This window comes from Homo sapiens, chromosome 2, assembly GCF_000001405.40.
Source record: "Homo sapiens chromosome 2, GRCh38.p14 Primary Assembly".
Taxonomy (NCBI): Eukaryota; Metazoa; Chordata; class Mammalia; order Primates; family Hominidae; genus Homo; species Homo sapiens.
This window is the reverse complement of record NC_000002.12, coordinates 100,901,989-100,923,123: the sequence shown is the minus strand read 5'-3', so window position 1 is coordinate 100,923,123 and position 21,135 is coordinate 100,901,989. Positions and strand designations below refer to the sequence as shown.

At 44.0% G+C, this 21,135-nt stretch overlaps 1 protein-coding gene across 20 annotated transcripts in view, besides 5 other annotated features; it reads right to left on the bottom strand.

Moving 5' to 3' along the window:
• Nucleotides 1–21,135, bottom strand: part of NPAS2 (neuronal PAS domain protein 2) — a 178,107-nt gene that overhangs the window by 73,706 nt on the left and 83,266 nt on the right. For all 20 annotated transcript variants that reach the window (XR_007075420.1, XM_047444506.1, NM_002518.4 and 17 more), the window contains exon 2: nucleotides 18,338–18,391. Coding sequence is in view for 19 of the 20 variants with exons in the window: in XM_047444503.1 (XP_047300459.1) it covers nucleotides 18,338–18,391 (54 nt within the window). In the remaining variant the exon portion in view is untranslated. The remainder of the gene's footprint in view (nucleotides 1–18,337; nucleotides 18,392–21,135) is intronic.
• Nucleotides 1,183–1,477: an enhancer, noted in NCBI's record as "tiled region #12407; K562 Activating DNase matched - State 5:Enh". NCBI's record gives its function as "activates a minimal TATA promoter and a strong SV40 promoter by Sharpr-MPRA in K562 cells {active_cell/tissue: K562}" and the evidence as "EXISTENCE:reporter gene assay evidence [ECO:0000049][PMID:27701403]".
• Nucleotides 1,183–1,477: a silencer, noted in NCBI's record as "tiled region #12407; HepG2 Repressive non-DNase unmatched - State 15:Elon". NCBI's record gives its function as "represses a minimal TATA promoter and a strong SV40 promoter by Sharpr-MPRA in HepG2 cells {active_cell/tissue: HepG2}" and the evidence as "EXISTENCE:reporter gene assay evidence [ECO:0000049][PMID:27701403]".
• Nucleotides 19,315–19,837: an enhancer, noted in NCBI's record as "H3K4me1 hESC enhancer chr2:101519749-101520271 (GRCh37/hg19 assembly coordinates)". NCBI's record gives its function as "activates a minimal SCP1, AML or CMV promoter by ChIP-STARR-seq in primed H9 embryonic stem cells {active_cell/tissue: H9 hESC(primed)}" and the evidence as "EXISTENCE:reporter gene assay evidence [ECO:0000049][PMID:30033119]".
• Nucleotides 19,315–20,743: a biological region, named in NCBI's record as "MED14-independent group 3 enhancer GRCh37_chr2:101518843-101520042".
• Nucleotides 19,544–20,743: an enhancer, noted in NCBI's record as "MED14-independent group 3 enhancer chr2:101518843-101520042 (GRCh37/hg19 assembly coordinates)". NCBI's record gives its function as "activates an origin of replication core promoter dependent on BRD2, BRD4, P300/CBP and CDK7 cofactors, and independent of MED14, by STARR-seq in HCT116 cells {active_cell/tissue: HCT116}" and the evidence as "EXISTENCE:reporter gene assay evidence [ECO:0000049][PMID:35650434]".

Below are 21,135 nucleotides of genomic sequence, written 5' to 3'. Positions count from 1 at the left end.
GCTAGTCCAGGCTAAAAGACCATGTTCAAACACATGGGAGAGAAGAAAGGAATCCTTTAACTTTCAGAGTGAATGTCTATGCATTATAAATAATTTTTTGGCCTAGATTTTAAAGAGTGACATGCAACCTCCTTAGCCAAAAAAAGCTCTGTTCCTGTCCTAGTTTGCCCATTATAAATTATTTGTGAGCTGATAACACCCAGCTCATTACTGCTCTGTTCTCGTCTTCAATGGGTGTAATGACGACCAACATGGCCTGGTAGCAACTCCGACGAAGGCTCCTATCGTTAGTGACAGAGACACAAGCTTGTTTCCATCCGCCTCCGGCTGGGACACACTGTGGTGTCCACTGGAAACTGGTCGCTGTCAGCTGGTTCCACTGCTATCAGGCAAGAGAAAGAAAATGAGCCTGGAATGACCTTATTTCCAAAAAGAAGGTCCTCTCGGCAGGCCCCGAGACCACCACACACAGACACTGGGACGAAGGTTTTGAAAGACACTCCAACAACCCCAACAACCAGGCTTTGGGTTTTTGTTTTTGAGACAGAGTCTCACTCTTGTTGCCCAGGCTGGAGTGCAGTGACGCGATCTCAGCTCACTACAACCTCCACCTCCCGGGTTCAAGGGATTCTCCTGCCTCAGCGTCCCAAGAAGCTGGGATTACAGGCATGCACCACCACACCCGGCTAATTTTTGTATTTTTTAGGAGAGACAGGGTTTCACCATGTTGACCAGGCTGGTCTCGAACTCCTGACCTCAGGTGATCCACCAGCCTCGGCCTCCACAAATGTGCTGGGATTACAGGCATGAGCCACCATGCCTGGCCAGGCTTTGGAGTTATAAGGCATTTTTTAAATTCAATAAAATTCATCCATTTTAGTGCATAGTTTGGTGTATTAGTTGGGTAACTACCACCAAAATCAAGATAAACAACAGTTCCTTCATCCTAAAGAGGTTTCTCCTGTGTCTTTGTGATTGATCCGCCCACCCCCAGCCATAGCCACAGGCAACCAACCACTGATCTGCTGGTAGTGTAGTTTCACCTGGTCTAGAATTTAACAGACCTGGAATCAGAGTATACAGTCTTTTTGATTTAGCATGACATTTTTGAGTTGCATCATGTTGCTGCACATATTAACACCCCATTCCTTTTTCCTGATGACTAGCATTCCTGTGTATGAATATGCCACAACATCTGGTTCATTTCCAGTTCAGGGGTAATAAGAATAATGCCGTTCTGAACACTCATGTACAGATCTGTGTGTAGATATAGGCATTCATTTCTCTTGGGTGAATACAGAGGCATGGAATTGCTGGGTCATCTGCTAAGCGTATGTTTAACCTGATAAGACACGGCTGCACTGACATACAGTGCATTGAAATGTTTAGCCGTTGAAATGTTACCTTACTGCGGCTTGGATTTGCATTTTCCTAGTGACTAGTAATGTCGAACATCTTTTTACATGCTTAATGGCCATTTATGTATCTTATTTTGTGAGGCGTTTGTTCAAATCTTCTGCCTATTTTCCAGTTGGGCTGTTTGTCATCATCTTATTGAGTTTAAGAAAGAGAGAGTAAGAGAGAGACCAAGGGAGGGAGGAAGGGAAGGTATGTGTGTGTTTTAAATATACATGGATATTGATTTTTGAATGTGGGGCTCAAAAACCCCAAGTTATCTGGTTCTGAAGCGTCCATCATCGGGCATCTTGGGGAGTTTGGGTCTGGTTACACAAGGAATATTTGCTGGGCACTTACTATGTATGTAACGGGCACCATGTTAAGAGCTTTACATCCATTCATTCCTTCAATTCTCATGGCAACCCTTTAAGGCAGGTACTATTGCATTTCCATTCCAAGGGGAAGGAGCGAGGCACTGAGAGGCTGTGTAACTCACCACCATCACAGGTCTGGGAAGTGGTGCCACAGGCTGGCTCCAGTGCCCACGCTGTGAGGCCGTGCACCCTCCTGCCACTTCCTACAGCTCCCTCCAAATCACTGTGGCGGGATCTGTTATGGACCTACGGACCCAGTGTTCTGGGAACACAGAACTGAGAGTGACTAATTCTGGCTGCTTGAGTTTATAGCACAAAAACTAAGCACACCGTGCAGAGAAACAGTGCCACACACTAACAGGAGGCTGGTGTTTGTGTTCCCCGTTGGGGAAGGGTACTGCGGGAAATCAAGGGAAGACTGCGACCTTCGCTTCAGCTCCTAGGAGGAGTGGCCTTTCCCACTGTCGTGGTCACCTGTGGTGTTAGGATTGCTGTTCACCAAATATTTCCAGTTTGTCTTCTGGAGAGAGCAGGATTGTGCTTCCCTGCCCCTTCGCTTGGCCAAGAACACGTACGCACAAGTGCCATGTGTCAGTTCCCAGGGAGAAGCATGAAGAGTCAGTGCAAAATCTGTTTCATTCCTTTTTCCATTCACCTCCCTTGGCAATGGGAGGTGAAGCCTCTGTCAGCCTGGGTCCTTGGGTGAGGACACTTTATAGTAAGGGGCCAGCAGCTCTGTGATGAGCACGTCAGCTTTACTGAGATATGGGGATTGTGGGCCACATAGCCCAACTAGTCTATCTGGATACACATAGTAGGGGATTGAGCAGAAAGGCACTCATGGGTGGAACTCAAACATCCAGTTATTAAATGCAATACAGACAGACCTCCAGGGAAGTGGGGCACAGGTTACCTTCCAGTACCCTTAAAAACTGTACATGTTTATGGGGTACAATGTGATGTTTTGATATATATATATACAACATGGAATGATTAAATTAAGCTAATTACCATATCAGTCACTTCACTTATTTGTGGTGAGACATTTGACATTTACTCTCCTTGCAATTTTGAAATATACAACACTGTACGTTATTATTAACTACAGTCACCCTGCTGTGTGATAGATCTCAAAACCTGATTCCTCCTGTCTAACTGAAGCTTTCTACCCTTTGACTAACATCTCCCCACTCCCTCCCCCTTTGACAGGAGGACCCTCTTCCACTTCTGACTTGAGGGTTCTCTGGACAAGGGCAATTAGAGACAGGAAGAGTATTTGTTCTATATTCTCTGATTAGCACCTTCTGTGCACAAGGCGCTCCATCAAGCGATATGGAGGAGGCGGCAATGAAGAGGTCTTGGCCCTCAACTAAAAGCAGCTCAGTGTCTAGAGGAAGAGATGGAACTCATTCCTCAGAAGCTGGTATAGGGGGTGCAATACAATACTGCCCGGTGAGAAGTTCCAACGAATCGCCAAGGGTGCTCACCAAGGAGGGAGCCCAGCCACGGAGCCCCTAGAGGCAAGAACATGAGGTGGCTTTGAGGGGTGCATAGTCAGGGGTGGAGAGGACAGCCCAGGGGAAAGCTGGGTGGTCAAGTTTGGCAGCAGAGTTGGGCTCAATTGGAGAAGGAAAGGATAGGGTGGGGAGGCACGGGGAGACCGACGGCGCAGTCGTGAATGGTAGGCCAAGCAACCTGGTCTGAGCTTTTGGATGAGTGGGGACAGGGAAAGGAAATGAAATGGGTCCTCAGGAAAGGATGAGGGACCCAACTTAAAGGGGAAGTGAGTAGAGACAGGAAGGGTCCGTGAGGCTCCTCCACCCCAAAGCACAGCACGGCGCTGCTGCTCCCTACCGCCCCCAGCGGGGGATGTAGGGAAAGAGCCAAGCAAGGCTCAGTCAAACTTCATTAGCCTCGAAAAAGTGACGCTGACGGTGGGTGCTTTAAAACGTTTTTTTGTTTTTGTTTTTGTTTTTTTTCCCCTTAAAATTAACACACAGTGAGCCTGACTTTTTCTTCGGGGACACGGTTCTATACGTTTTAGCACATGTATAAAGGTATGCAACCGTCATCACCATCAAGACGAGAGAGAGCTCTCTACAAAACTCTCATGCCCTCCACTCCCACAAAACTCTGGCCAGCTCGGTTCTGTTCTCCATCCCTATGCTCTTTTCAAGAATGTCGTAAAAGTATAATCCTATAGCATGTAACCTTTTGAGCCTGGCTGCTTCTACCCAGCATAATGCCTTTGAGATTTATTCAACTTGTGTCTGTCAATACCGTGTGCCTTCTCATTGGTGAGTAGTTTTCTACTGTACGGGTGTTCCACAGCCGGTTTATGCATTCACCCATTGAGGAAATGTGGGTTGTTTCCAGTTTGGGTAATTATGAATACAGCTACTATGCCCATTGGTGTACAGGTTTTTCAGTGAACGTGTTTGTATTTTTCTGAAGTAAAGAATCCAGGACTAGAACGTCTGGGTCATATGGAAACTATATGTTTATAAGAAACTACCAAACCGTTTTCCAGAGTGGCCATGCCATTTTACCTCCCTACCAGCAATGTATGAGTGATCCAGCGTTCTACAACCTTAAAGGGAATTAATATTGTCAGTACTTTAAATTTTAGCTAATCTAAGAAAGTTGCGGTGGTACATTATTAGAGGTTTAATTTGCATGTATCTAATGGCTAATGGCAGTGGACATCTTTTCACTTTTTTTGACATCTGTAGACCCTCTTTGAGGAAGCATCTGTTCATATCTTTTGCCCATTTTAAAATTGGGTTGTCTATTTCCTTACTATTGAGTTTTGACAGTTGCTTGTATTTTCTGGATACAAGTCTTTTGTCAGAAATGTGATTTGTCAGTATTTTCTACCCGACTATAGCTTGCCTTTTCAATCTCTTAATAGTAACTTACAGAGTGAGTTTTTAATTTTGATGAGGTCCAGGTTTAACAATTTTTTCTCTTACGAGTTGTACTTTTGGTGTTAGGTCTAGGAACTCTTTGCCTAACCTTATAGACTACAAAGACTTTCTATTTTTTCTTCTTATGGTTTTACAGTTTTACGTATTTTACATTTAGATTTATAATTTCAGTATTGATTTTTATTTCATGAATAGATGTTGCATTTTGCCAAAGTCTTTTTCTGCATCAATTGATATAATCATGTGGTTTTTCTTTTGTAACTTCATAACATAACGGATTACATTGATTTTTGAATTCTGAATAGCCTTGCATTCCCTAGATAAGCTCCACTTGATTGTAATTTAAAATATATATAAATATATATAGTTGGATATAATTTGCTAATGTTTTGTTGAGAAATTTTGTATCTACACTTATGAAAAATGCTGTTCTGTAGATTTCCTTTCTCATACTGTCTTTGGGTAATGCTGGTCTCATAAAATAAACTCCAAAGTATTTCCTTATCTTCAACTTTCTGGAAGAGTGTGAACAGAATTGGTGATATTTCTTCTTTTAATGTCTGGCAGAATTCACCAGTGAAATCATCTGGGTCTGGAGATTTCCTGTTCAGGTTTTCAAATACAAATTCAATTTCTTAGTTATAGGACTCTAGGTTTTCTCGTTCATCTTTTGTGAGTTTGGTAGTCGTGGTTTTTAAGTAATTGGCCCATTTCATCTAAGTGGTTGGATTTTATGCGGCTCTAATTGTTCATAGTATTTCCTTATGGCCCTTTGAATTTCTCAGGAATATCTAATGATAGGCCTTCTTATTCCTGCTATTGATAAATCGTGTCTTTTTCAGTCCCTTGATAGACTTACCAATTTTATTGAACTTTTATTATTTTTATTATTTTTTTAGATGGAGTTTCGCTCTTGTCACCCAGGCTGAAGTGCAATGGCACGATCTCGGCTCACTGCAACCTCCACCTCCCAGGTTCAAGTGATTCTCCTGCTTCAGCCTCCCAAGTAGCTGGAATTACAGGTGCCCGCCACCACGCCTGGCTAATTTTTGTATTTTTAGTAGAGACGGGGGTTTCACTATGTTGATCAGGCTGGTCTTGAACTCCTGACCTCAAATGATCCCCTTACCTTGGCCTCTCAACCTGCTGGGATTACAGGCATGAGCCACCATGCCTTGCCAATCTTTTAAAAAATCACCTTTTAGTTTAGTTGATTTTTCTATATTGTTTTTCTGTTTCTAATTTTATTACTTTCTGTGTTTATATCTAATTTCCATCTTTCTTGCTGTGAGTTTATTTTGCTTTTCTGTTTCTAGTTTCTTAAGGTAGAGATTAGTTGTTGATTTGAGACCTTTCCTTTTTTTCTAATAAGAGCATTTAATGTTGCAAGTTTCCCTCTAAGCATTGCTGTAGCGGCAACCCACTAATTTTGAAATGTATGTTCATTTTTATTTAGCTAAAATATTTTCTAATATCCTTGAGACTTTCTCTTTGACCCATGGATTACTACACAGTTTGTTGTTTAATTTCCAAGATGTGGAGATATTTTTCCCGCTATCTTTCTGTTTCTAATTTTTTCATTTGAATTTATTTACATTTGTTTTATGAAGCAGGGTTTGGTCTAGCTTGGTAAATGTTCAATATGTACTTGAAAATATGTGTATTCTGTTATTGCTGAGTGGAATGTTGTATAAATACCAATCAGATTCTGTTGGTTGATGGCATTTTTCAGTTCTTCTATATCCTTGCTGAAGTTTACTCTACTAGTTCTATTACTAAGAGGAGCATGTTAAAGACTCATCTAACTTCTTCAGGTTGTGCTTCCTGTACTTTGAAGCTTTGTTTTTAGGTGTATACATATTAGAGCTATTATCTGTTCTTGGTGAATTGATCCTGTATCATACGTAATGTCACTCTTTATTCCTAGTAAATTTCTTTGCTCTGAAATCTATTTCATTTGATATTAATAGAACCATTTTGGCTTTCTTTAATTAGTGTTTGTTTGGTATATCATTTTCCATAGTTTTACTTTTACCCTCTACCTATAGCATCATATTTGAGTTGAATGTCTTGTAGACAGCATATATTTAGGTATTTAGGTTACTGAAAAAAATCATTGGAACAAAATCTGTTTTTTAGTTGGCATATTTAGACAATTTACATTTAATGTAATCACATATGTTTGGATTTACATTTTCTATTTTAACATGCTTTCTGTTTGTACATTCTTTGTTTTGGGTTATTGTTTATTTCCCCTTTCCTGCTTTCTTTTGGATTATTTAAACATTTTTTAGTATTCCATTTTAATTTATCTATTGTTTTCCCCTCCATATTTCTTTGTATGACTTTTAGTAATAATTCTAGGGACTGTAATATACAAACTTGTCTTTTCAAAGTCCACTTAGAATATTTTATCATTTCAAATGGAATCTAGAAACTTTTCTCTATATAGCCCCCTCTACCTTCTCCCCTCTTTTATGCTGCAATTGTCTTATGTACTATCTATACATACACTAAATATACCCTATCAGATTATGCTGTTTTTGTCAAATATTTACCATTTCTGTTTTCTTCCTTTATTCTTCCTATTCCAAGTTTCTATCTAGTGTCATTTCCTTTCTGCTGAAAAACTTCCTTTAGTAATTCTCTCAGAGCAGGTCTCTTGACAGGAAGTTTTCGTTCATTTGAGAGTAATCTTCATTTTACCTTCATTCCTGAAGGATATTTTCACTGCATGTTGAATTCTGGGTTAATAGCTCTTTTCTTTTAACATTTAAAAAATATTTTACCCCTATCAGAAGGCTTCCCTGTTTTCTGATGAGAAATCCATAGTGCTACTAAAATATGTTCCACATGGCCAGTCATAGACCTTGGGTGGTGGTCTATTCTGAAGTTCAGACCTGAGGGTCTATGGTATGCTGCTCAAGATCAGATCCATGCAGATTCAGCTCAGGGGTGAGCTCAGAAACTCACAACCAGCTTTATAGAGTCACTTTCCTGAGCACCTCCCTCTCTGAAATCTGCCCAGTACCTTCTGGTTCCCAGGCTCCCTTTCTGTTCCGTTGGCCAGAAAGCTGGCTCTATTTATCCTGCCCTTCCTCATACTACCTACATCTGCGCTTTCATCTGGGGCCAAGCAGTAGGAAGATAGAGAGCAAGGGGGAAGAAAGCAGCAGGGTTTCATCCCACCCTCTTGGAAGTGTAGCTGCTCTGTCTGGAGAGAGGTTCCCCTTCCTCTGCATAAAAGGTTTCATGTGGATTCTGATGGCCACTGTTGCTCCTGCTATGCTGCTGTTGGAGGATTGCTTCTGGGATGCAAGGAAATAAATAAAAAACAAAAAAGGGCAGATTTAACCTTGCACAATCTGAGCATTAGGAGACCTTGTTCCTGCTCCTTAAGCCAGTACTAGAGCTCCTGGTCCTCTCTCTGTCAGCAGAGGCCCACTTCTGGGTGTGGGGCTGCATTGAGTCTAGGCTAGGAGATATTACAGGGGAAAAAATGGTGAACTCGCTGCTGGTTTGGTAGTGCTTCCCCAATCTGCACCCTACTATTTACTCTTCAGGGTCCTCAAATGGCTGTTTCATGCATTCTGCTCACGCTTTACAGCTGCATTCAGTGTGATGGACAGGACGGAGTAGGCTAACTCCATCTTACCAAGATCCAAAACTCTCATATATCTTTTCATATATTTTTTAATGAGTTTGTAAAAAACCCATAGAAATCAAAGGGTGGGAACAGAGAATATAAAAGCCTGGTGGCAGGGGCTGTTAATAAGATCCTTTTGCAGAAAAGCGTATGGGGTGAGCTGGACTGTAATTATAAGAGACTCTTGAAGAAACATATTTCTGGGTAGCTCTTGCAGAACAAAGAGAATGACAGACGAACTGGGCAGGCCCTTCTTCCCTTGGTATTAGTGTATCACTCTGGAATGAGCTAACATTAAAAAAGCATCAAAAGGAATCCGCCATTGCACATCAACATGGAGTTTTACTAACCCAATAAAACTACTGTCCTATGCTTCCCTACCCTCTGAGAGTAGATGTGCACCTCAGGCGTAGCTCTCTAGAACTCTGGAATCCAGAGGAGGGTTGTACTTGCAGCTCAGGATCCAAGCGAGTCCTAGCACAGTAGCCCCATACTCTTACAAAGGGGCTGTGTCTGTGGTATTTCAGGAAGGCTGAAGGAAGGAGAGTCACCACATAATGCAAGGCAGGAGAGGGCCATGGTTCCAAGGCAAAGTGTCACACACACACCCACACCCATACCCCTTGGGTTTCTCCCACAGGTGGAATCTTGGAGGCGCTTCTCTGAGAGGATTTCATAAGACAAATGCATATTATTTACACCATACTCAATGCTTCTCTCCCCTCCTTCTTGGTGAAGAGATGATACAGGTGTGCACACTTAGTGTGCAAGACTGGACTTCACACCCAGCTGCCCAAGATGCATGGCTGTAGCTGGGATGGGGATCAGGTCCTTCTGAGAGGCCTGTGGCACAGAGGAGGAAGGAAGATGCTCATTTCCCATCCTGCTGGGAGAGACCCTGTGCCAAGAATACTTTGAGCATGCAGGTGAATGACATCGAGCACCCCCAAGTTTGTGTCCTTGGCCCTCTGTCTTCCTTAAATTCACAAGAACGCATGCATAGTGGTGCAGGTACATTTTATACATCACCAAAAGTCCTATGTTTCCCTTGGGAAAAAATTAAAAACCATTGAATCGGAACTCCTCATCTGTGAGCTGGATCAGGAATGAGGATAAAAGGCAGTAAAAAGAGAAAAGAGGGGGGAAAAACTATCATTCCTAGGAAGCTCTTCCTTTTAATCCATTTCATATGTGGACTGCTCTGGCTGGCAATGTCTTCAGCTTATGCATCTCTGGTATCCATTGGGAAACTATCCATAACGTCTATCAGGCTTCCCTGCTACTAAGATGCTTTTCCTGGTGCCTCTTCCCAAGGGTGCCATCTTTTAAACTGGCTCCACTAAGTCTAGTTCTGTTAACTGAGTAAATAGGGCATCCTGATGGGGGAATATAGAAGATGCTCTCTGAATCAAAGACAGTTGACCAAATGGAGTGAAAGCTCATAAATTAAATGCTTTCCAATCAAGTTGGAAAGCTATGTTCGGAACTGGTGAAGGGAGCACTAGCAGGCTCCCTTGCTGCCAAGAAGAGCTGGTATTTGAACAAGAGGTACAAATAGGTATGCAGATAGATGTGCAGCTCTCTGAAGAGTGACTTCTTGCCCTTGGAGGGTCTCTATGGTGAGGAGCTAAAGGCATTCTATGAGGCATCCTATTTTCATGTTCCCAATTCCCACCGGGAGCTGAAGAGAGGTGGAGGGAAGAAGAGAATCCAGACAATTTGGCTTGGCTGAGATGAGCACTAGACAGACTTCAGAAGATGTGAGTTCTCATCCTCGTTCGGCACCTAAGCCAGGAGAGAGTAAGCAAGGCACTCCCAACCACACGTTCCTCAGTTTCCTCTTAAAAAACAGTGAGGACATTGATATGGTGATTCTGACACACAGCATTTAAATTCTCTGAAGCTCTCCCATCAAAAGATGGGTTCTAATTCTCCTTCCCTTGAATAAAGGCTGGACTTGGAGGCTGGCTCCTGATGAATAGATAGCAGCAGCAGTGACAATGTTTGGCTTCCAAAGCCAGGTACTAAGAGGAGATAGAGCTTCCCCGTGACATTCGCCCTTGAATGCAACCACGTGTTGTGAGGAAGCCATATCTCCATAGGGAAAGCTACTTCCAGTGGACATGCTGGTTGAAAGCCAACATCAACCAAAGGTGTGGGAGTGAGCGTGTCTTCAGGGGGTTCTACCCACCATCTTTGAGCTACTCTGGCTGATACCACCTGGAACGAAACAGGCACTCCCTGCCAAGCCCTACCCTAGTCAAAGATCCATGAGCAAAATGAATGCCATTGCTTTAATCCCTCACATTTTGGGGTGGTTTGTTACATAGCAACAGAAACCCAGAATAGTTAATGCCTAAACCAAAGACACACTGATACCCAAGTTCCTTCCAGACGGGGAATTCTGGCATATCTTACCTGGGGTCACTAGTTCTGCATTATAGGATGGGACAGGAACTGAAAAGGGTGCAGCACTAGGCTTCTCAAATCTGAGTTTTATAAACTGAGCAAAATAATAATAATAAATAAATAAATAAATAAATAAATAAATAAATAAATAAATGGAGCAAACTGAACCTTTCTAGAAGGCATATCAGGACTAGGCCTTATTCTTCCTTTGTAGTCTCCACAGTGCCTACGACTGAGGTTGTAGAAGGAACACACATTTCTGGTAGAACTGAAATATACCAAATAGGTGCTCACAGTTTTAAGAGGCAACTGCAGCACACGATGCTCAGTGAAGACAGTGCTGTCCATAAAAGGTGAACTTTCCTAAAGAATACATTAGAGCTGGTCATGCACATTAACAAAGAGCATCTATGAGCATTCCTATTAAAACTGACTGGAAGCCGGGCGCCATTGCTCACACCTGTAATCCCAGCACTTTGGGAGGCCAAGGCTGGTGGATCACTTGAGGCCAGGAGTTTGAGACCAGCCTGGCTAACACGGTGAAACCCCATCTCCACTAAAAATACAAAAATTAGCCTGGCGTGGTGGTACATGCATGTAATCCCAGCTACTCAGAAGGCTGAGACAGGAGGATGGCTTGAACCCGGGAGGTGGAGGTTGCAGTGAGCCGACATTGTGCCACTGCACTCCAGCCTGGGCAACAGAGCTAGACTCTGTCTCAAAAAAAAAAAATTGAATGGAAATGTATAAGAAAGGCTGACAGAGAATATGCTATAATATTAACAGTGGCTATCTCCAGGTGGTATGATTCTAAATGATCTTTGTGGCCGGGCAGGAGAATTGCTTGAACCTGGGAAGCGGAGGTTGCAGTGAGCCATGATTGCGCCACTGCACTCTAGTCTGGGCAATAAGAGCAAAACTCCGTCTCAATAAATAAATAATCTTTGCTCACATCTTCAAACATTTCAGAATTTTTCAAATGTTGTTTTGGAATTTTTTATATATAAGAAAATGTATAATTATAATGGGAATACAGATGACATATCTATTGCCTAAGATAGTGTTGGTCAATGGGTCTTCTGTGGAAAATCATGAAGAATTACTTGAAGAAAGGGGAAGGACCATGGCCAGAGGAGGTTATTTTCTTGCCACTATGTTTTTATTTTTCAGGATAATTTTTTAAATGCAGGATTGTATGATTTTTGGTTATTTGCTAATTGCAGTCTTAGCATCTTTAATGTGCTGAGAAGCCCTAAAATTCTCCACAAGGGAGAAACAGTAAACATACAGTCCGCAATTATTTTGGGGGCATTTCCTGGGATTAATATTCTCCATAATACATTTTGGGTAACTTCGGCATAAATCAAGGTCCATATAAGGTCAGTGCAGTCCCCTCCTGTGCCCAGGCTTAGAGTCTGGAGACAGGTGCACAACCCCTCACTTCCATAGCCCAGGCAGCATCCCTGCATGCTGAGGCCATGCGGTTTGGGGGCATCACTGGGCTCAGAGTCTCAAGAAGTTTGGTGTAAGAAGAAGACATTAGGCTGGGCATGGTGGCTCATGCCTGTAATCCCAACATTATGGGAGGCTGAGACAGGTGGATCACTTGAGGTCAGGAGTTCAAGACCAGCCTGGCCAACATGGTGAAACCCCAACTCTACTAAAAATACAAAATTAGCCAGACATGGTGGTGGACGCCTGTAATCCCAGCTACTTGGGAGGCTGTGGGAGGAGAATCACTTGAACCCAGGAGGCAGAGGTTGCAGTGAGCTGAGATCACGCCATTGCACTCCAGCCTGGGTAGCAGAGTGAGACAGAGTCTCTGTCTTAAAAAAAAAAAAAAAAAGAAGATGTCATCTGGCTGTGTGGGGAGAAAAGTTGCCCCAGCAGGAAGGGCTGATACCATCCTCACCTCATGGAGAACTTAGGGAACTATTGCAGAGACTTAGCAAAGCGTCTGGGGGTGACTGAGAGCAGCTGAGGCTGTCTATTCTCCCGAGAAGCAACAGAACAGCTTTACTCTTAACCACAGTTAGCAGAAAGTGTCTGGGCCCAAATGGGAAGCTGGCCTAATTTCATAGTGACTCTTAGTTAACAGTAACACAGGCACCATTTAATTGGAACATGATAGTTAGGAACTTGTCACCAAAATTCTAAAAAGAAACGTTTAGCCTTTTCTAAAGAAAGGCAGCATTTTCAAGTGGTGCATTCCTGATCATCTCTTTTCAATTTAAAATTTACTGAAATTATTGAAAAGGCTTTAGTAAACTGCCTTTTGCCTCAGATGCCCCCAGAGAGGTTCTGGATCTCCTTGAACGAAGACATTCCCAAGTTTCTAAGCCTGCCAGACACCACGCTTCTCTGACAACTCCTCTGAGCCAATCAAAGAACGCTAGCAGGGTAAAAGCCAAAAGCCCCTCAGCAGAGGGAGGCCCCTTTTCCATTCCATCGTTTACTGGGCTACAGGAAGAATTAGCATTCTGCCTGCAAGTACAGTTCTACTTTCCCCTTTGTTTTGAGAACAGAATCACTCATCTGGAAATTACAAGGTAATATACACGAATCGCATGTCCTATTACCTCCTGCGTTCTCACAATGCCTGCTGCTGCCTTAACCATAAAAAAAAAAAAAACAAAGAGGAAGCCTCAGAGATGTTTTACTGCCATTTTTTCCCCCCGTGTGGGAGCTTATGATGATGTAAGTAAAACCCAATCCAAAGCCTATGAAAGGAAATCACAGCAAAATTAGCACGACAGGCTCCAGCTGGGAGCATCAGCCCACTGTCCAATGCTGAGGGCCCGGGGTTCTCACTGCACTGTGCCTGCATGCAGGGGCACTCTGCAAGTGTGCATGGGGCTGGAGTCCTCCAAAAGGGCTACAGCCTTTCTGGGCAGACCTTTGCTTTCAGACCTACAGAATTTATATCCAAAGAAATGGTACAAATGAAACGAGAACAGTCTCTCTTCTTTGCCACATTACTCTCCCTGAAAGAGCAATTGGCTGAAAGGGTTGAGTTTACAAATTTCGATCTCCATCCTGTCTTGGCCTAAAACAGACTCTGCAGAAAGTGTTTTCTTTTCCTTCTTTATGCTTATTTTCATGAATGCATCTCTAACTTGCCTGAAAGCGCTCTGAGGGCAGGATAATGCTATGTATCCTCATCTGTAACATCCACTTGCTCACCACATCACTTAGTCAACAAATACAGATGGGATGGTCTCAGCCATTCATTGGTCCATGTCATTAAACTACCCTATCCTTTTCCTCCACCCCAGGGGGACCAGAAGAAATAACCAAATGGCTAAACCTTTTCCTTCTGAAATATCTGCTTCTGCAAAATGGCATGCGTAGGCTTCTTGTTTGCTTATGTTTGAACTCTTCCCTCTCATCTGAACCACTTTATTGACATTGAGACTAAGAATTAGGGTCAAAGAATCATAAAATTGTTTAGCTGATGTTTCAGAACCAGCATCCACTCCATTAAGAGCCCCAAGAATCAGCGAATCTGACCTGACACTTTTGATTCTCATGAACAAAGGCAGCAGAGCCATAAACTCCCCTTCTACTCTCCGTCTCTCAACCAAAGGTATGGGACTATGGAAACAACCTCACAGCTGACTGGAGAGAGGAGGTCATGGACTCATTTAACACTGGATTAAAGGAAGAGGTGAATATGAAGCAGTTTCTTCTTAGCCAACAGGTGCTCATTTCTGTCAAGAAATGGAGTAAGCTGGATTTTGCAATACGGCAAAGTTAGATAATTGCTTTCTTTGGAAAGCAAGAATTCCTATCAGAACTTATTTTCTCTACCCCTTGGGAAGGTGGTGACTCAAAAGGAGCGGCTTCCATTTACTGAATGTCACAGACGCTGTTAGGAGCCCAGACTTTAGAAACAGATGTGTGCATTTGAATCCCTGCCTGCTGCCAACTGGCTGTGCAATCCCTGAGCCTCAGGTTTCTCAACTGTAAAATGGGGCTAAGAATAACCTATTTTGTGAGGAGGTGTTGTAAGGCTTGGAGAATTACTGCATGTAAAATGCTCCAGGCAGGCTGTGAGCGCTCTGCAAATTTTAGCTTTCCCTATCAGCACTGCATACTGCACTGTGCCAGGGGATCAGACGCAGCTACATTTAATTTCTGCAATAAGTAGCTACTATTATCACCCCACTTGACAGAAGAAGAAACTGAGGCTAAGAGAGATTTAGTGACTTGCCCAAGGACAGACAGTAAACATTGGCAAGAATCAAAGCCAGGCCTGTCTGATTCTAACCCTGCGCACTTCCTGCTACCCCACACTGCTTCCTGGATGACCACAAATGCACGCGCATGCACGTGCACACACACACACCCTACAACACTGTTTCACATCAGAATTAGAAAGACATGCTTATAACTGGAATACAGAAAAAGCTGTGAACTTCATTATCTAGGGATTACAAATATCTCTCAATCAAGCTGTTTCCTTCTTGAGTACAAGGACTATATTTTTGCGTCTTCCCTGAAGAATAGAGCACTCAGTTCTGAACACACAATAGACACTCAATTAATACTCCCTGGATTTACATGGAAATTCACGGAAGAAAGTGGAACCGTGCCCTTGTTTGGAATACTTGATCAAACAACCCAAATACACCATGAATTCCCTAAAGCATCGAAAGCCTTGCCTAACACAAAGCATGTTTTCTGGAGGCAATGAGAGTTTTGATCTCAAGTTAAACATTTCTAATCTCATCAAAAATAATGGGTGAGTAAAAACAATTCATGCCAGGCCTCCAGGTGGGATTAGGGGAAGGGCCTCCCATGTTACTGCTATAAAAACTACTTTGAAAAGAATACGATCTTAGGGGTGTGTGTGTGTGTGTGTGTGTGTGTGTGTGTGTTCCCAAGTGTTAGGAGGGGTACTGCGTCCTTGCTATTTCTGGGTACCACCAAACGTTCTAAACTCCTTTTTCCATCTGAGTACAAGGGAGGAGTGTGGGCCCCAGCCTCACTACACAGGTCTCTGTGCAAAGATTTCCAAGTAGAGAAGTTTTTGGGTGGGGGAGGTATGCTTATGGCCCAAAGCAAATGGGGAGGGGAATGAATGAAAAGAAACTGCATACAAACTGATTTATTTCTAGGAACTTTTAGCCCAGATTTTTTTTGGCATGTCTATATTTGCTGATTTCTGCGTATGGTAGAGCCTAAACATGCATTTTTATCTCTTCCTGATTTAGAGGTAAGCGGTGCAGGAGAGAGGCAGGGATGGGACTAGAAGGGGTTTGGAGGGTGATATTAAAGATGACAACAGCAAAAGTAAAACTCCTATGAACTCCTTAGTCATGCCAGAATGCAGCTCTTTGTCTAGTCGGCCAGGTAGATTGAGTTTGGTCTTATATGAAAAGCCTCTTGTGGTCTGGGGATAAGAATAGAGTCTAAGATTAAAGAAGTCTGTATTGAAGTTCTCATTCTGCCACTTCCTAGAGCTTTCTGATCTCTGACAATGTACTCAACCTTGTTGAACTTTAGTCTTCTCACCTGTAAAATGGGAATAAGAATGATACACACTTCAAAGGAATGTTGAGAAGATAATATGAGATGACGTACATAAAAGGACTTAGCTCAGTACTGTGGGCACCCAGCGAATGCTGGCTACCACTGCTGTTCTTTCCATCATTTCTAATAAGAATGGCCTGCGCTTGAACCCGGGAGAGGGAGGTTGCAGTGAGCCAAGATCGCGCCACTACACTCCAGCCTAGGCAACAGGGTGAGACTCCATCACACACAAAAAAGATTGCCCTGTAAATGTATTACTGTAAAGTGTGCTGCATATTCATACACATGTAATGATGAATATTTAAAAAGCACTACTCAGTGTATTTTGTAGCTAATTTCCAAAATAACCAGTGAGGAAAGCAGGACAGACACTACTACCCTTACATTGCAGGTGAGAAAACAGAGGCTTTGAGAGATGAGGGGTCAGTTGGAATTCATCAGCTAGCACAGGGCAGGCCAGGAATGCAGCTCACATCTGTCTCCAGCGCTCCATCCATAGCTATGCTGGAGGAAACCAAAACATCCCAGAGGAAGGAACTCTAGTCTGGTCTAATCTAGTCTATTCATTTGTTGCTTGGAACCCAAGTGGATTTTGCAACCCTTGTAGGTTGTGACCTACAGTTTGCAAAGCACCTGGGTCCCAATGCCAAGTAAAGGGCTTGTCACTTCAGGATAAGCTGGGGAGTTCTATGCACTGATGCCTGTTTGAATTTTTATTGCAGAAATTTGCAAACATATGCAAAAGTAAAGAGTACTAAGAGTCCCCAGTGCTGATCTCCCAGATCCTGGGATGAAGGCTGTTCTGTCTACACTTCTGGCCATTTCCTCTGCTCCCTGATTTTTTTAAAGGAAATATTGGGGGAGTTTAAAACAACCCAGACTCCCCTTATGCCTTGCAGACTCAGGTCTGGCAGGTCTGGGGGTGGCCAGGGATTTGTGGTTCTCATGGCTGCCTCTCCAGGTGACATGGAACGACAGCTGCCCTGCAGCCACAGAGCTGGGTGGTACCTGAGGGCACTACCATTTACAGGTGACAAGCAAGCAGTGGGTTCTGTGAAGGGAAGTGGGCAAACCCTTTAGCTCTGCAGGCTCACGAGGCTGTCACAGAGGACGGAGAGCCCTGCCACACACAAGCAGTGGCAGAGGCAGAAAGGGGTGAGATCACAGCAAGGAGGCTGGTCCAGTGGGGTTGCAATGAAGAGTGTCTCCAGAGAGGATGTCCCCTGCTGCCAAGGCTCGTGGCTGGGCCTCCACCCGAATGACCTGCAGTGAGCCACTGAGGAGCTTCCTGCTCACGTTTTTTTCCCCAGAGCATGGCACAGTAACTGCCGACTTGGGTGAATCGTGTGAAACTGATGACATTCAACTGTTCCTGACCCTCTCAATGTCACTGTTATGATTCCACTGCATATCTAGTAGGCATTCAATACATGTCCAATGAAGGAATCAACATAGACAGGTTATCAGGGCTCTCACATGCCAGCTGCCAAGTTAGTATTTTTAGTTGACCCAACCACAGCGCAAGGTGTCTATGACATCTCCAATCTACAGCCGAGGAAACTGAGCTAATCTATGTATACAAAAGTGCTTAGCACAGTGCTGGGTGATGACTGCATGCTCACTGTGTGGCAATGATCATTATTATTATCCAAAGCCAGACAGAGCCCCAGCAACTGAGTTAGGACTTGAATCCAGGCCTGCTGGGCTCCAGTCAGCCTGACTTGTCAAGCAGTGTCTGTCCTGGAAAAGCAGTAACCAGAAGCCCTGAAAGATGACCAGTGTCAACAGGGGTACACAGGAGCATGACAAAAACCCAGACCACTCAGCCAGTCCTAGACAATGTGTCATTTCACAGTGAGGGGCAGGGCTGAGTGAGCTCTCTAGAAGGTTTCTCATGGAGCACTGCAATATGTCACAGAGAGTGTGTCCTACAGCTGCCTATCTTGCTGGTGGCCTCACCTGCACAGAGTGAAAGCCAGCGAGATTCTGCCAGGCAGACCCCCGGGGGCCAGAGAGCTCTGCTGAGCAGGGGGACAGCTGCATCTTACCTCTTGGCTCTGTCTTTCTCATCTTCATCCATTAGATTTTCTATGCAGTTTTTCCTGCAAAAAAAAAAAAAAAAATTAAAAAGAATGGATAATTACTGTCTGCTTCTACATCTTTCTTAAAAGTCTTTCAGGTTGTTGTCATTTTGGTCTTAGCCCAGTGGTTCTCAAACTTGTTGGTCCTGGCACCCCTTTACACTCTCAAAATGGACTGAGGTCTCCAAAGCACTTCTGTGTATGTGGGTTAAGGCTGAGAAATGTTTAAATGCACAGGCACTCTTTCATTGGGCATCGGAGCAATGAAGTCATCAGATGTCAAGTAACTTCTGGAAAAGTCAGAACAATTATGTCGTGTACACTCATGAGACAAGGAGAGCTCTTTTAAAAGGAGCAAATAACGAGTTAATTATATTTTGAAAAAATGTCTTGACCTCAAGGACCCCAAGGGTCTTCAGACCACACTTTGAGAAGTGCTGTCCAGACCTGCTCAGTGAAGCAGCATCTGTTCCTCTCAAGCCTTAGGTCGCACGCACCTCCCAGTGCCTGCCTGGGATCCGTTAGCGACACCACAGCGGGCCTTGTTCACTCCTGCTTGCAGGACCCCAGTGGCCTATGACATCCTAAAGGAGAGTGTTTATCTGTCCATTCAAACCACACAAGCTCCTCTGACAAGTGGCCTGGAAGAATCAGCCCCAAAGGAGTGTAATCCGCAGTTCCTCCCTTAGGGCGTTTACTCTCCTTGAGACAGCGAAGGTGCACAGATGTGAAAGATTACGTAACAATCCAGGAATGTTCTTCCTCAACACCGGAGCCTCTACTCTCCCAGGCCACTGGCTTGATGCTTCTCAGGCCCACAGATCCAGCTTCCTCTCCTACCACACGCAGGCCTGGGTTCCCTCCACCCCTCAGAGCTGCATAGCCCTGGCTCCTTTCTTCATTCACACATTTCCCAGAGCCCCACCTGTCTGGGGTGCGCCCCCCAAGTCAGCACATCAAGCAGAACCGTTCTCAGGGCACTCATGAGGCCAATGCCAGCTGTGGGAGTGGGAGGCTGAAGGCTGCGGTGGCTGGGAGGGCAAAGTGTGATCGAGGTAAAGGTGGGGACCATGGAGAAGCTGAATCACCACTGCCCACCCGCTTCTACGCTCAACACACAGGGTCTTCAGTCGGAACTCCCAAACCAGCACTTCGCAAATGCACCACCAATTACTCTTGAAATATAAAGTTTCAGATAAAAATTTTCAATGGAGCCAATCAATCTTTCTCTGAGCTCATTTAGTTTTGTGATTTTGGTCACCTACGTACACAAACATGGGTCTGAGCCAAAGCAAAGATGAATTCTGCAGCCACAGCCCCTGTTCACATAATGCCCATGCAGTCAACAGCAGGCATATTCCACAATGGACTAGCAAGAAATGCTGCTTAGAAGTTAAAGCCTGTATTACAATTGAGTCAGCGTTAACACATCTGCAAACAGGCCTGTGCTTAATGTTTTCCAGATGGAATCTGTTCAAAGTTTTATGTCAATTCATTGAATGATGCCCTACCCCAAGCCTGTGCTTCCAAGGAGAATGGTGGCTGATCAAAGCCCCAGGGCATGAGCAAGGACCCGGCCACGCTGTGTTCTTTACCAGGGGCCCCTGGACAGAGCTTGTCCACAGGAGGGCTGGCTGCTGCTCCTCAGTCCACTCTCCTGAGCTCCTGGGATCCTGTTTGGATGACCAGGGTTGCTGAGTCATAAACTAAACATCTAAAAATGACTAATAGCTCTTCTTTATCAACCACATCTTCTGTGATTTGTATGTTTATCCCGCAGACATTTCCTGAATCTATAAAACCTGGATGCTCTACACCCATTTCCTCTTCTTCAGCATCCCTCTCATTTCCCTGCCCCGTTCCTCTCACTTGACCCGACTAAGCCATTCAGCTGAGCTGCACCCAGTGTGAGGAGAGGGCCTCTAAGCTGAGTTCCCATTGCACCTGTCACAGAAGCTCCGTGCTGATATTTTTACTATTTTGTCACCTCTGTTGTCTACCATGTTATTTTTTCACTTAAAAAATTGTGATAAAATACACCTCAGAAATTTACCATCTTAACCACTGCTGAGTGCCCAGCTCAGTGGCATTAAGCACATTCATACTGTTAGGCAACCATCACCACCATCCATTCCAGATCTCTTTGCCCTTGCAAAGCATAAACTATTCATTCAACAAGAAGTCCCCATTCCCTACTCACTCCAGGCTTCGCAACTGCCCTTCTACTTTCTGTCTCTATAAATTTGACTATTCCAGGTCTGTCATGTAAGTGCAACCAGACAGTATTTGGCTTATTTCACACAGCGTAATGTCCTCAGGGTTCATCCATGTTGCTGCATGGGTCACACTCTCCTTCCTTTTTAAGGCCGAGTGATATCCCATTGCACGGAAACGCAGTGTTTTGCTTGCCCATTCATCTGTCCATGGACATGGGCTACTTCCACCTCGGCTGCTGTTGAGTGTGGGTGTCCATCCCCCCTTGCGTTTTAGAGTCACCCTTTTACTTAATAATAGGATCTGGAACCAGCTTGAAGGCAAACAAGGAACAGGATGGAAGGGAAGAAAAGCAGTCCTCTGAGGTCAGGTTAAAGGAATCACAGAGAAGTTTAGGGGGTGACAATGACTCTTCTCAACCGTATAAAGTTTTCAGTGAGAAGGATTTTGAGCATCTACTTTTTTTTTTATTTTGATCACAGAGTGCCAGAAAACAGAAAAGGAGCTTAAATGAAAGCAGAGGAGATTTTGTTTGGAGCTGAGACATAATG